The sequence below is a fragment of the Homo sapiens genome, chromosome 11 (genome assembly GCF_000001405.40).
Source record: "Homo sapiens chromosome 11, GRCh38.p14 Primary Assembly".
NCBI lineage: Eukaryota > Metazoa > Chordata > Mammalia > Primates > Hominidae > Homo > Homo sapiens.
The window spans coordinates 103667538-103682924 of NC_000011.10; the positions used below are offsets into that span (position 1 = coordinate 103667538).

Here is a 15387-nt window from a genome sequence, read left to right on the forward strand (position 1 = left end):
ACAATAAAAATTATTAATAAGATATTTTACTTTCCTTTTTTTTTTTTGAGACAGAGTCTCCCTCTGTCACCCAGGATGGAGTGCAGTGGTGTGATCTTGGCTCACTGCAACTTCCGTCTCATGGGTTCAAGTGATTCTCCTGCTTCAGCCTCCCAAGTAGCTGGGATTACAAGTGCACGCCACCACGCCTGGCTAATTTTTGTATTTTTAGTAGAGATGGGATTTCACCATATTGGCCAGGCTGGTCTCAAACTCTTGACCTCAGGTGATCCACCTGCCTTGGCCTCCCAAAGTGCTGGGATTACAAGCATGAGCCACTGTGCCCAGCCTTACTTTCCTTTTTTTGTAATGAGTCTTTGAAATCTGGTACATATTTTGCACTTATTGGATATCTCAATGTGGGCACTCAATTATCCTTTGAAATACTTGATATATTTTGATTTTGTAAAATTTATTATTGAAGATGTAGATTCACATACCCCAATTTTTTCAAACATACTTGAATGTTTCTAATAATTGAATTGAGTATCTTTAAAAATTTATGTGTAATTAAATTAAATAAAATTAAAAATTCAGCTCCCCAGTTACACTAGCTATAATTTAAGTCTTCAACAGTCCCATTTGGTAGTGGCTTCCATATTAGACAGCACAGACACAAGTTGTCTTCATCGAGAACCCCTGCTTCTCCAGCCTGGGCAACATAACAAGACTCCATCTCTTCCAAACAATTGAAAAAATTAATTGGGCATGATGGAACACACCTGTTGTCCTATTTACTCAGGAAACTGAGGGAGAAGGATCTCTTAAGCCAAGGAGATTGAGGCTGCAGTGACCTAGGATTGTGCCACTACACTTAGCCTGAGAAACAGAGTGAGAGCTTGTCTCAAAAAAAAGAACACTTGCTCTTATCTAATAAATAAACAGTTAATAAATAGCTATTGAATCAATATTGAACCACTATGCTATGCTGTCTCAAAGAAGACAATGAGAAGGCACCATTTAATTGCATTCAGTGTTCATTTGACATTTATTTGTCAGAACTAATATCAGCTGATATTAATGGTTAAAAGTATAGGTTCTAGAGTCAGACTGGGCTGGGTTCAAGTCTCGGTTTTATTACTTATTAGTTAAGGAGTCTTAGTCAAGATAAAGAAGAAGGCGTATATCTTGCTAACCAAAAGGAACAGTCCAGTGAGCCTCCCAGAAGAAGTTCTGATCCAGGTGACTATTGCACAAAATGTATGAATAAAACCAGAGGATGACTCCTTAAAAATACCATCTCTTTCCTCAAATCTCATGCCCTTAGCATTTGCTACCCTGATGTATATTTATCAGCAGGACTTGCAGGTTCAACACTATCATTGGCAGAATGGTCTTAGAGTAGGCATATAAAACAGAAAAGCAGGCGGACTCTGCTCCTTGCTTAGCTCTGCTATTGAGACATAAACCTGTACAACTTCTGAGTCCTTGACCTACTTTCTCCTTTCTGTCTCTTCCCTGTATGCAGATTGTGTGAGTATGCAAATGACTCTCAGTCCCAATTCTAGCCACAGCCCTTATCAACCCTTCTTATGTAGACTGCCCAGGTCTCAGAGAAAGCCACCATATCCTGTGAGCACCAATAATTTAGGATTGCTGAATTTCTCCTAAAACCTACAGATAGATGGATGGAATAGCAAAGCTCTCATGTGCGTGAATCATATATGGGCTGAACCTATGGGAGGAGACTCACTGGCATATAGACTATCCTAGCAAGTGTGTGCATCAAATACCTCTAAGGATACCAATCTAGAAAAGGAGTTTCCCCTACGGAGAACAAGAACCTGAATGTTCATAGCTCAATGGTATTGGCTTCCACTGATGTAGTGCATGCTGTTTCTTGGATCTCCTCATGTTTGAAGGTAGAATCTTTCGCTTGGTTGCTTGGATCTTGCTTTAATAAGATCCTTATACTAGATCTAGTCCACAGAGACTGCCTAGATAGCCTACAAGAAGAAAGAGAGAAGGAGGAGAGAGAGAGAGAGAGAGAGAGAGAGGGAGAGAGAGAGATTGATTCTGTACCTACCGGATGATAAATGTAACATCATAGGTAGCCGCCTAGAGGTACATTAGTCCTTTATTCAAAGGAATGCATTTTGAGGTAGAGTGTGTGTATGTGTGTGACAAATGTGGCATATGGAAGGTATGATGTCATATTAATAGATAGGTTTAGTCTATATGAGCCTATATAATTGTTTCTCGTATATAATAATCCTATTAGCAATATAAGCAATTTGAAAGGGTACTTCTGATAGGTTTCAAGCCAGTGGAAATAATCTTAAGTGATACACTGTTAGTCTTTGACCCCTCCATACTTTTGGTTGCTTCTCATCAATGCCAAGTAACTTTTGGACTTGAATAAAATGCCATAGTGGGGTCACTGTACACTGACTCTGATATCCTGGGGGCCAGATGATGCAACTCAGAAGCTCTGGCAAGTTAACCCCTCCTGTGGGGAATCTTGATCAAAGGAAAAGAGGAGATGAGAGGAGCTCGGGCAGATAAACTCCCTTCCCTCCTCTCTTTCATGGACCAATACAATGTGTATTTCTTCTCTGCATATCCTGCATGCCAAGAATACATACCTGCAGAGTGGCTGGCTATGTCAGCAGCTTGTTGTAAAGCAGTAGCCAGTGTGGTCACGTGGCACATTGCATTGCTTTGCATCTTTGCTTCCCTCACTTCTGGTTTTCCCTCATCCTCACTGCCTGTGGCTTGGTTCTCCCACATAAAGAGTTATTGCCTTAACCATGCCTCAGGCTCTGTCTTCTAGAGGACCTGAGCTAAGACCTAATATAATGTTCTGCTCCCAGTAAAGGTGGCACTTGGAGTTTTCTCCTCTATACTATGAGCCATTCCAAACATGCCCTCATTTTCTTCACAAGCTTTTGGCAGAGCTTCGGTATACTGTGATCTTAGATCACATAAAAGGGTGGAGATGGGTAACAACCTAGGCTGTTTTGTGGGAACCTGCAGTGGCTATGGGGAGAGAGAGGACATTCTGATTTTTCTGTTCATTCATTCCATTTGGCTTCAATATAATCTGGCTGCAACGACATTAGGGAAAAGCAAGATGGAAAGGAACATCCATAACGAGGTACAAAGTATATGAGGCACACTGTGTCCCTAAGTAACCTCACACCACACTTCAGAGCTGCTAGGTCCAGCTTTTTCTAATAAAAGTGGAAAGAGAATACCCAAAGCCATATTTCTGTGCTCTGTTATGAAAGCTCCCCTAGAGGTGTCACAATCAGACTGTGATTGTCTTAACCACTGTGAGTGACCTTAATCACTATGAATGACCACTATGAGTGACCTATGATTGTCTTAACCACTACGAGTTTTCATGGTCCAGGCACTTTTAACATATATTGCCACATTTATTCTTCATAACAATACTACAAGGTAGACCCTAGCATTGTTCTATTTTCCAGAGAAGGTAATAAAGTCAGAGTGCGCTTAGGTAACTTACCTACATTTATTCAGCTAGCACAACTGATATAGCCAGGATTCGAACCTAGGTCTTCAGATTAACAGGGTGGGAGTGGATAACCACCAGGCTGTGTCCTCTATATTATATTGCTATGAAAGTGTTGTTCCCAAAATGGTGCAGCTGCTTTGTGTTTCTCTAACTTATGTAAACTGATGTTCTCTTTCTCTGAAACACTTCTTTTTGAAGACCTGGCACAGTCAACACCTGCTCTGGGAAGGCTGATGCACCTCCCAGTGTCTGGCCTTTGCCCCATTGTATGAACCCCCTCTCCCCACAATCCCCTGAGTATCACCAACTCCAGTCTGTGTGTAAAGAAATATTTATATAGATGGTTTGGGACCATAAAGGAATTTGTGCACTTGTAGAGGTGGCAAAAGGTATTGCAGCATAGCCAGAAACGAATATTAGCTACAACTGTCCTTAAAAGTGTCTTGGCCATTCCTGATCTTATGCTCCCTTTGCACACAGCTCAGGCAATACTCTATGGTATTTCTCAACTCCAGCAACCACCCAGTAAATAGTGTTTCTTTCTTCCACGTGGAAATGTCATATGGAAGCTCAAAATTTGTCCTTCTTCATTGTGCAAAGCATTGTGGTTCTTGTGGCTAACACGAGGCCCACATCAGGACTATTTTCCTTCAACCAAAATGGCCCAACATACTGTATTTTTCTAAATAAAGTTCATTTGCTTTTCCTTTAAAAGGAAATCTGTTTTTGGTTTTTAAAGCAACTTTTATTTTTCTCCATGCTACGGATGAATGAATGAAAGCATACGTGAATGATCAAATGTGTAACAAGGTAGATATTATTACTTATTGAAAATTCTCCACGAGGATTTCTGGTAGAAAAGTGGTCAGCTTGAGAGAACTAGACTGCTGAGGCTGTTCAGAGGTCTTCTGTCTGTGAGGAGTCAGTGGGGACCGGGCTTGGAGCTTCCAGAGGGACCCAGCATGGCTGGTGAGTAAGAGCAGAATTGCAAGGGGCCACTTCCAGTAGGAAAGTGGCTATAGACTAGGGAAGGTGGAAAAACGATACCTGCTGTGCAGAGTGTGAGAAATGAGGAAGAGGAAAGTTAGGGAGAAAACTGGAGTGTGAGAGAATTGGTTAGAAGGGGAAAGAGCTTTATATTTTAGTAGTGTCTCCATGAGTCATAAATTAGATTTCCTTTAATATTATTTAAGTGAACAGAGGCTGGAATTTTATTTAATTTCTTTATTTGCTAGAGTGTGTATGCATGTGTTTTAAGGAAACACAGGCTTGAAACTGAATCCTGTTGGGCTAAATGATTTATTTCATTTACAAAGGAAATGGTAGCCAGGAAAACTGGGTATATCATATATACATCTTATAATTTTGTGCAAATTGCATTACTTCTCATCACATCTGTAAAATGTGTCTGGTGCCTACTTTACAGAATTACATGAGGATTAAATGGACCACTCTGCAAAGTACAGATTATCAAAATAGTCCGACACTGGTATACTTGGGAAAAAACTCTCTCTCAGACTGTGCAGAAGTATTAGGCACTTTAATATGTGTGTATATATTTATATGTATGTATGTGTATATATGTATTTTTGTATGTGTTACAGGTATGTGTGTGTTTAGTGTGTGTGTTTTATGTGTGTATATACACACACACATATATAAACACACACAAAACACACATACACACACACATATATATACATACACTCACACATATATGTAAGGTCCTCTGAGCTGGCCGCACCACAATCAAGCCATCGTGACGTTCCTGCGCCCTTGTGAATGTACTGTGTAACATTCCTCCCCACCCTTGTGACAATACACCCTCCCTGCCCTTGTGAATGTAGTTTGTAACATCCTCCGTGCCCTTGAGAATGTACTTTGTAACATCCATCCCCTGCCCACAAAAAAAATTGCTTCTAACTCCACCGCCTATCCCAAACCTGTAAGAACCAATGATAATCCCACGACCCTTCGATGACTCCTTTCTCGGACTCAGCCCACTTGCACCCAAGTGAATAAACAGCCTTGTTGCTCACACTAAGCCTTCTCAGGTGGTCTCTTATACGTAACAACATATATATATATACACACACACATACATACATATATATGCGTAACAACATATATATATATACACACACGTAACAACATAAATATATACATGCATACACACATATATATATACACACACATATACATGCAGTATATTACTTTCCCAAGCCCAGAAGTTCTGTTCCTTGACCCTGAACTCCGTAAATGTAGCCAACTGATTATGTCAATGCTCTGGGGTGCAGTGTACCATCCCACAGGGCAAATCTCACTCTAATCCAGCTCATAGGGCATGGACATATAAATAAGAACGACAATTAGTTAATTCATAATGCCAGTGGTAGAAAATCCTATCTTACTCTGAGAACAGTATTGTCTTCTGCAGATAAATTAACATGAGAAGTTGATTTATGACGGGATTTATGATGTATTTATTGGGTACAGAGTGTGGCTCAAGTCTTTAATGATGTCAGGCTAAGATGGCTAAATGCTCAGCTCTACCTTAGGGATATACCAGCTGTCAGGACTGAATGGCTGGATTCCTTGGTCCCATTATGGAACAAACACTAACATTTACCCATTGACTTCCATGGTTCCATGCCCCAGAGACAGTAACCCTCTTTTTGATGATCACATACTTTTCTTTTTTTTTTTGAAAAAAAAAATGTATTTCATTTTTAAATGACCTCAATTACACGCTAATAGAATGTGTGTATCTGTTGGATACCGTGCACTTTCTCAAACCTCAGAATCAGATTGGACACTGCCACTCTCATTTTCTGTCCCACAGTGATTTTCACAAAGCAATTGTTTTTTATCAGAGCTACTGCATAAAAACCAAGTTTGCAAAGATATGACATCATCAAAAAGAATGTAGCAATGTTTATTGTTGAAAGTGTGGATCTCCAGGAACTAGCAGTTGACATTGTTTCTGACAAATTGCTGGTTTCCTCTAAAATTTAAAATACCCCTCTGCACCCATATGAGTTTGCTGTGCCTTCCCAGGGTTCCATGGCACACACTGTCTGGGAATTGTATCACATTCTTTTTTTGAAATAATGTTGAAATTACTAATTAGGTTTTAGCCAAGTTCTTTTCTCTTCTTCTGAAATTTTGCTTTAAATTGCTTTTATCATATCTCTCTTATCAATTCTGGCATTTCAGGATTTTCTTTACTTCCAAGTTGGGAATAGAGGCATCTACTCTATATTGTCACATAGGTGGAAATGAAAAGGTCATAGAATGGGCTGGACTTAGGAGACCCGAGACCTATAGCCTAGGAACCTACACAGGGATAACAGAGCCATATGCGGTGGTGGTGGTTTGGGCTTGGGGTTAGATATATGATGATTTGTTAAGAGGAGGCAGCTGTTAAAGGTGTGTGATCAATTATTGTTTCATTGATTTCTCATTAATGAGCCTTCACTTTGTTTTTGTTTTGAGACAAAATGAACAGGCACAGAAAAAATAGGTAAGATCTTACATATCCACTTAGTTCATACTGGGGGTCGAATAGGGCAAGGATATTGCAGACAGTTCAAACTTAGTTGATCAAGGAGGACTAATGGGCAGCCCTTTCTCAAGTTTGAGAGATGAAGAAGGAATTTGTGGGCTTCATTCCTTAACTTCCTTCCCCTATTCTATCGGCAGAGACTGACAACTCGGCATATACAAATAGTCTTCACTTAATGTCATTGATAGGTTCTTGGAAGCTACGATTGTAAGTGAAACGATGTAAAAGGAAATCAACTTAACATAGGCTAATTGAAATAAACTAGAGTTAATTTCCTACAGCATATTTCTGGTCACAAAATCATCACCCAACCTTCAAAATAAAGACCAAAACACTTCCAATATTAAACAATGAAATAAATGTGAGCTACACTTTTAAGAAAGATTAATACAAACAAGTCAGATAATTACTTGCCCAACTGTTCCAGTTCAAGATTGTAGGTGGTGACCTACTGTGGAGCCTGTCCTGGAGGTTCAGGTAAGAACCAGTCCCGAACAGGATGCCATCTCATCGCAGAGAACCCTCACACACACCCACACCACTCATACTGGGACAATTCAGACATGCCAATGGGATGCCAGTGGCACGGCTTTGGGATGTGGGAGGAAACCAATGCAGACATGAAGAGAACACGCAAACTTCACACAGAAAATGGCCATGGCTGGGGAATTGATTTTTTTTTCTCATCGAGGTTATAGCAAAACATCATTGAACAGAACAATCTTATATACCTGATGTATAAGTGCTTTTGTTTATCCACATTTTTTGCACTAATTTTCTCTATTGGATCACTCCCATCAGCAGGCAAACATTCCAGTTTTCTATTTTAAAATTAACTTCTCTTATGAGTCCACTTTTTCCTTTAGTTATGGAACCAACCCAAATGCCCATCAATGATAGACCGGATAAAGAAAATGTGGCACAGATACACCATGGAATACTATGCAGCCGTAAATAGGAATGAGTTCATGTCCTTTGCAGGGACATGGATGAAGCTGGAAACCATCATTCTCAGCAAACTAACACAGGAACAGAAAACCAAACACTGCATGTTCTCACTCATAAGTGGGAGTTGAACAGTGAGAACACATGGACACAGGGAGGGGAATATCACACACCGGGGCCTGTTGCAGGGTGAGGGACAAGGGGAGGGATAGCATCAGGATAAATAGCTAATAATGTGGGGCTTAAAACCTAGATGACGGGTTGATAGGTGCAGAAACCATCATGGCACCTGTATACCTATGTAACAAACCTGCACATTCTGCATATGTATCCCAGAACTTAAAGTAAAAAAAAATTCCCAAACTTTTCACAATAATCATCTTGACCTTTCCCTGAATAACCATCATACCACCAATCCAATGTGAATTACATCTTTTCTTAATCTCTCAGTGTCATTTGGTCCAGTTGATCACTCCATCCTTGAAATGCTTTCGTAACTTAGTTGCTCTTGGTCTACCTTGTCTACCTTCTCCCTCAGCAGCCACTTCTGGATCCAGATTCAGTCTGTTCCCAAGGAGACCATGGTTGGGGCAATAAAATCTAAGGACTTATGGAAATAAAGAAGAAAATTTAAAGAGCCAGGTTTCTCATGTGCTTTGTTTTCTTATTTCTCCAAATTAAATATAAGTTCCAGTCATGCAGGGACCTTGGTTTACTTGTTCTTCTCAAGTTACTCCACCCCCTAAGGACTGTGCTCAGCACACTCTAGGCATTTGAGAAATATGGTTGAGTTAATGAATGTGCAGCTCTCCCAAGAAATTACTTTCTGTCTTTGACTCAAAAGACCAGAAGAGTTTCTTCACCAAAAGTCCCTTGGAATCTTTTATCACTCTTCCTTTGGCATATTCATTTGCTGGTCTGGAGATGCTGCTGATCTTGGTTCCTTTTGTCTTTCCGTGACTGCTACTGGATTACAATGTAATGCTTTTGGCCAGATGTGCATTTTAAGCAGCCCCAGTAATACATATTTGATGTTGGATTAAGTTGTTCTGACTTGTAGTCATAGTGGCAGGAGCTTTTCTGCTGTTGCCTGCCTTCTGAATATGAATAAAGTGTCTGCACTTTTATTAACTTATAGCAGAGTTATGTTTAACCACAAGAGGAAAGGAACACACCAATTATTCTCTTGTGCAACATTAAGGAAGCATGAATAGAAAACAGCTTTGTGGCATGAGTGACCTGAATCCCTGAATCGGTCTCTGCACACAATGTTTGAAAGAAAGTCATAACTATGTATTCATTAGAGGGACTATAAAATAGCAGAGTGTTAAATTTGTGACCAAAAGTCTTTGTTACCAGTGATGTGGGGTTTATTATCTATCATAGCTAGTCTTATTAATTGGGAAGCTCTTTGCAGAAAAAGAAATGGATTCCATTTCTAAAACTTGCAATTATGAATTCCGTTAATGCTTTCAGCCATCCAGATATTTATTTATACATGTCACTCAATGGGGCAATTTGCAATTCTGGGTAGATTTTGTGACTTAAAGCAGAGTGCTTGTTCTCTACAGTTCAGTAATTCTCCACTTCTCAAAATGGGACAACCACAGGTTTATCCATCTGCTTTTTGTTAAATGAGTCCGAGATGAGGAGACAAATGCTGTATGCTTTTGATAAGACAGGCATGATTCCATTAAAAATAATCTTTTGAACTCCTATTGAGTGGAAGACACCTGAAATAGAGCTTTTAGGGGAAGGGGAGGAGGATGAGTAAGGTAATTCTTGCTATCAAAGTTTGGAGTGACCACAATGATGTAGATAGTAAGTTCTTTGGGGGAATTCTTGAACTGATTTCATGAAGTAAGATTTGTGAACCGATGGCATAGGTCTGGAGTAGACTCTAAGGCCTTCCCCGCCGTACCACTCTCTCAGGGTCTGGTTTTGTGGATGGCCCACTCACTGTGCAAAGCTGCATCTGCTGCAGCAGTTCTGGTGCCACATAACATAACCCAAGGACAACCCAAGGGATTGTGTCCTCAGCCCTTTCTGTTCTACTGACTAATCTTTAGCATATTGTAGACCTTTTAACAAAAATTGCTATTCATAACATATGTTTAGTTTATAAATTTCTTTAATAGAACATTTTAACATTGTTTGAATGGCCACAGGGTCTCATATTACATACTTTTGTTTCATTTCATTTTTCCTTTTATTTTCCCCCGAAAAGGAACAGAACATTGAAGTCTACTTAGAGCCAAAGATTTGGTCCTGGGCATTGTGGTTGCAGATACTACCTTTATCAAATGGCTCCCTGACATTGGCCTCCCACTTTTAGACTTGTATGAAATAACAAACTCTCCAAATTATTTGAAAATAGCCACAATTTCTTTTACAGACGTTTATTGGCAATTGGGCTCTCTCCGTGAAAAGGGAATATTGAGAAATGAACTTCAATGCTTCATTTTATTGTTTACTTCAAGGTAAATAACTCCATTTGGAAATTACAATGGTACAAATATAGTGAAGTTAAGCTATGGGTCTTACTCTGACCAGGGTTATGTTGACAAAAAATTATGCTTTTAAAAGCATTGCTGTTGAAAAGAAGGCCATAGTAGCAGAGGAGTCTGCTTTTATATAAAGAAGAGAACATTAGATTTGCAGTCAGATGACCTAACATCTTTGTTCGGGACCTTCAATTAGTAACTTATTTTTTCCAAGTTTCATTTTCCAGTGTACAGGATTGGTGCGAAATAAAATTTAAAAAGTATTTGAACATATTCTGTGAAGTTCTATGCCAGTATGGAGTTATACATGGGCTATCTTAATTGGTTTAAATATATCTCTCTAATATATGGCTTCAAAAACTTCAGCCAACTGAGATTGATTTCATATGATTTTTTAAACATATAATTTTATTGAGGTGTAGTTAACATACAGTAAACCATACATATTTGCTGTAAAGTATACAATTTGCTAACTTTTGAGACATAGACACATCCATTAAATCATTGCACCATCACTACACATCCGTTATCCCCAAAGTTTCCCATGCCCATTTATAGCAGGGATCTCCTTTTTAGCACCTCCCTCATATTCTTAGATTTGGAAAGTTTGTATTGTATGCTGGTTCCAGCACCTTTGATTTTCTAAATTATGTTACTTTGTCCTGTGTTTTTTAATTTGCCACAGATCAAATAATGACACTGTTATTCATAATGTCATAATAATTTGTCTCTCTCTGCCATAGAAGTTCCAGACAATGAGTTTTATCCTTTTCAGTGTTGACAGGGGTCCTATGGTAATTATGCAGGTGACTTCTCTCAAAGGACATTTAATAGAAAACGGGATGATGCTGAGCATGTGAAGATAGAATTGACAGAGACCTTAGTACATCCTCTCATGTTTTACTCTCTAGATGTAAAGATGCTTCTTTATGTTAGAAGCAAAGAATGATGGTTGATTATAATTTCTAAAATCACCCTGCTAATTTTAAGAGGGAATAATAACCACTAACTGGAAAAGCCTTATTTTTTTTTTTATTTTTTTTGAGACAGAGTCTTGCTCTGTCGCCCAGGCTGGAGTGCCACTGGAGTGCAGTGGCGCAATCTCGGCTCACTGCAACCTCTGCCTCCTGAGTTCAAGCGATTCTTCTGCCTCAGCCTCCCGAGTAGCTGGGACTACAGGCGTGTGCCACCATGCCCGGCTAATTTTTGTATCTTTTTTAGTAGAGAAGGGGTTTCACCATATTGGCCAGGCTTGTCTAGAACTCCTGATCTCGTGATCCACCCACCTTGGCCTCCCAAAGTGCTGGGATTACAGGCATGAGCTACCGTGCCCAGCCTTATCTTTAAAAAAATGTCAATTTGAGCATTATGAAGGGAAATACAAATTCAGCAATAAGATCATATTTATTAAGTTATGAACCCTAATGTTTTATGGGAGTTTCCTTAATTCATAGGCTACTTATGTTAGAGTAGTCAAAAACCTGGGCTTTGGAATCGCATAGATCTGAGTCTTACTAGTGCTAGTGCAAGCCTGGGCCAGTGACTTAATTTTTGTGAGCCTTGATCTGTTCACCTGTAAGATGAGGATACTAACAGCACCTATGTCATAGAACTGTTGCAAAAATTAAATTGGTTGATGTGTGCAGGCCTAGCTCAGGACGCAGAGCAATCATTTCATACATGTTATGAAGATGAAGATGATTATCTCACTGTAAAATGTATATCAGCATACAGCAAATATATACGAGATTTTAGTCTAAAGGACTTTCATTAATTAATCAAATATTTATTGGTACCTACTATGTCCCAGTTCCTTTCTAGTCATGGATGACTAAAAGCACTCAGATTCTTTCATCTCAGGGCTATGCTCTGGTGCTACAAAGGCCTCAGAATTTGTCCTCGTTCCCTATAAGACCATAAGTGGTTTCCCATGGGGAACTTTTTGGGCAGTGTATAGATAGCTCAGAGGAAACTGAGAGTCTTCATGCTTTAGCCTGAATTTGTTTTATCTATCATCCCTTTCCCTGTGTAGTCTATGTATTATTTATTCCAAATAGGAATTTCATCAATACCAATCACATTTAGAGGCAATTTTCACACCTAAGCTGGGCCATTCTGTATGAATGAAGGAATGCAATTAAAAGTCCAGAGCCAAAACTCACCTAAAATAGCTGTTGAAGTAGTGTAAAGTGTTGTAAATCTTTCAAGCCCCTGCTCCTGGATGGTTTGGGGGACACAGGGAGGAAGAACCAACTGAGCACTTGATCTGATCTTTGGAGAGAAGACAATTATTGCTTATGGTTAAAAGAGATGATATGAGTGTGAAAAGGGACCCCAAAAACCACACCCACACATTGGATGGACAATTTTAGTCTTATCCTACATCTTCAAGGTCAGGCTGCCCCAGAGCCTGGGTTTTTGGAGGACATTTGTGGCTCATGTGTACTGAACCCCAAGCAATTGAATAATAATGATCTCACAACCCCCAAGCAAGGCACTTAAAAATTATTATTTACTTATTTTTAGAGAAAAGGTTTTGTTCTGCTGTCCAGGCTGGAGTGCAATGGTGCGATCATAGCTCACTGATCAAACTCCTGGGCTCAAGTAGTACTCTTTGCTCAGCCTCCCAAGCAGCTGGGACTACAAGTGCATGCCACCATGCCCTGCTATAAGTTTTTAGTCCTGAGGTAGCAGCTCTTAAGCTTAGCTGCTGCAGATTAGAAAGCTGAAAATAACCAGAGAGGAAGAGTGTTTGAGTCTAGACTGTGTTTTCTTCTCAGCCTCTAGTTAGAGATGTCTTTCCTTCCCTTTCCTCATTCCCTGCTAAGCAGGAGACTTTCAGTGGGATTCAGAGATTCATTCAGCTAAAATAACTGACAAGTATTTACTGGCCACCTAACAGAGTTTGGGCTCCAGAGATACAGTCATAGGAAAAAACAGAGCTGGCAATGTAGAGTGAGGAGACATCTGTGAAACTACAGATCTAAGTTTCAGATTATATCAATGCTTTAAAAGAAAGGCAGACGTCTTCAAAGAACACACAATAAAGGAAGCTAAACTTAGCCAAGGATCAGAGGAGGCTTCCAGGAGGAAATGACATGTGAACTGATATATAAAGAATAAATAATAATAGCTGACATTTATTCAGGTTTACTATGTGTCCAATATCATTCTAAGTGGTTTATAGGTATTGCCATGTAATCCTCACACAGCATCTTGAGGTGATACACATATGTACATCATGTGTGCATGGGTATGTGTATGTATATACGTTTACATGTGTGTGTGTATAAATGAATAGATAGATGACCTCTCCAAACCCCCAGGTCTGGTCCTCGACTCTGAAGGTGTAGCCAATCAACTATGTCCATGCTCTCAGCTGGGTGGGTCCCATCCCTCAGGGAAAATCTGGTAGTTCTAGTTAGGAGTTCCACATTTTGTACTTTCTGTGCTGTGAGTCTTTGCGCAATTGGAATTAGAAACAGAGATGATAAGAGTAACAGTGGAAAACAGAAATTACCTTTTCAGCTCTGTTTATTTCAGGCTAGAAGCAACCAGAGACTCTTTACAATTTGAGTATTAAGAATCTCAGCAAACAGCCACATTAATGTAAGAAATAGACAAAAAAAACTTGAATCAAGACCTAAAACCAGTATGGCAAAGAGATTCTGGAATAATACCAGGATGAAGACATTACCAAGACATTCCTAGCTAAGGCAACTCCCAGTACTCAAGTGAGGGGAAACTGGTGGTTAAAACTAGGCCTAGACCCTGGTGCTAATTTTCTACCCAAACCTTTAACTTGACATATAGACAGATGTATGACCTAGTGACGTTTAGTAAATGGCCTCAAGTTTATTTTTTAGATGGGATTAATTCCTCTCAATCAATCTTTTCAGCAGCGTGAGTGAGGCCTGAGAGGCACACACAGTCATTAGGACTGTGACCACCCCACCAGATGCTCCAGCAGGCAGCCTGGAAGATACCACCCGTCATGCGCTCACATGTGTCCTTTTCAGCACGAGTAGCACAGTACTGAGCACTAAGCATTTGGTGGTTCTTTATATTTAGACCACCAAATCGTGGGAAATGACTGTAACACGGAAAGAGCCTTTCTAATGGCATTGCACCATACAAATGTTCAGTGTGATTATTATAATCTCCACCAACAGAGTTGCTGTGTAATGCTGAAATGATTGTAGAACATTCCTATAGAAAAACCCTCTTACCTCGGAGCCTCTTTTCACCCCTCCTCCATCCCTGGCAGGCTATTTATGTGGTAATGTTATCTTTTGAAACTCTAATGCGCAGCAGTCCAGGTCGATCAAGCCACCTTTTAGCTTTTGCCGATTTGCTTTGAAGTTGACACCAAGGTCAGATGTTATTGTTATTGCACAGACTCAACACCAGGGGGTGATCACAGCACATCACACTAATTACCACTGCCAGACAAAGCTGAGTGCTAATCTCAGGCAGTGCACCCAGAGCAAGAAGCACGGAAGGAGCTGGGCTCACAGAAACTCTGGTCAGTAGAAGGCACAACATGCAAAGAGGCTTTTTAGTGGCACCACATGGTACAAACGTTCACTACGATTATTATAACCTCAGTGGAGCTGCTGTTTAATGCAAAAGGAGAGAACATGCCATCTCATGACTAAACAATTGCATAGGAAGCAGAATGCAGACAGTTGTCCTGCCTGTTGCCCCACAGTGCTGGGTGATTTAAAGGTGCCATTGAAACCCGATGGATGTTCCTGTCTTGGTAGCATGCAGCCTCACACACCAACTCTGTGCTCAACTAATGTATAAATCCCTACAGCTCCTCAAGTGCCAAGAATTCTTCAGGCCAGTGG

At 40.0% G+C, this 15387-nt stretch overlaps 1 annotated feature.

Moving 5' to 3' along the window:
* Nucleotides 14404-15122: an enhancer, noted in NCBI's record as "OCT4-NANOG hESC enhancer chr11:103552669-103553387 (GRCh37/hg19 assembly coordinates)". NCBI's record gives its function as "activates a minimal SCP1, AML or CMV promoter by ChIP-STARR-seq in naive and primed H9 embryonic stem cells {active_cell/tissue: H9 hESC(naive and primed)}" and the evidence as "EXISTENCE:reporter gene assay evidence [ECO:0000049][PMID:30033119]".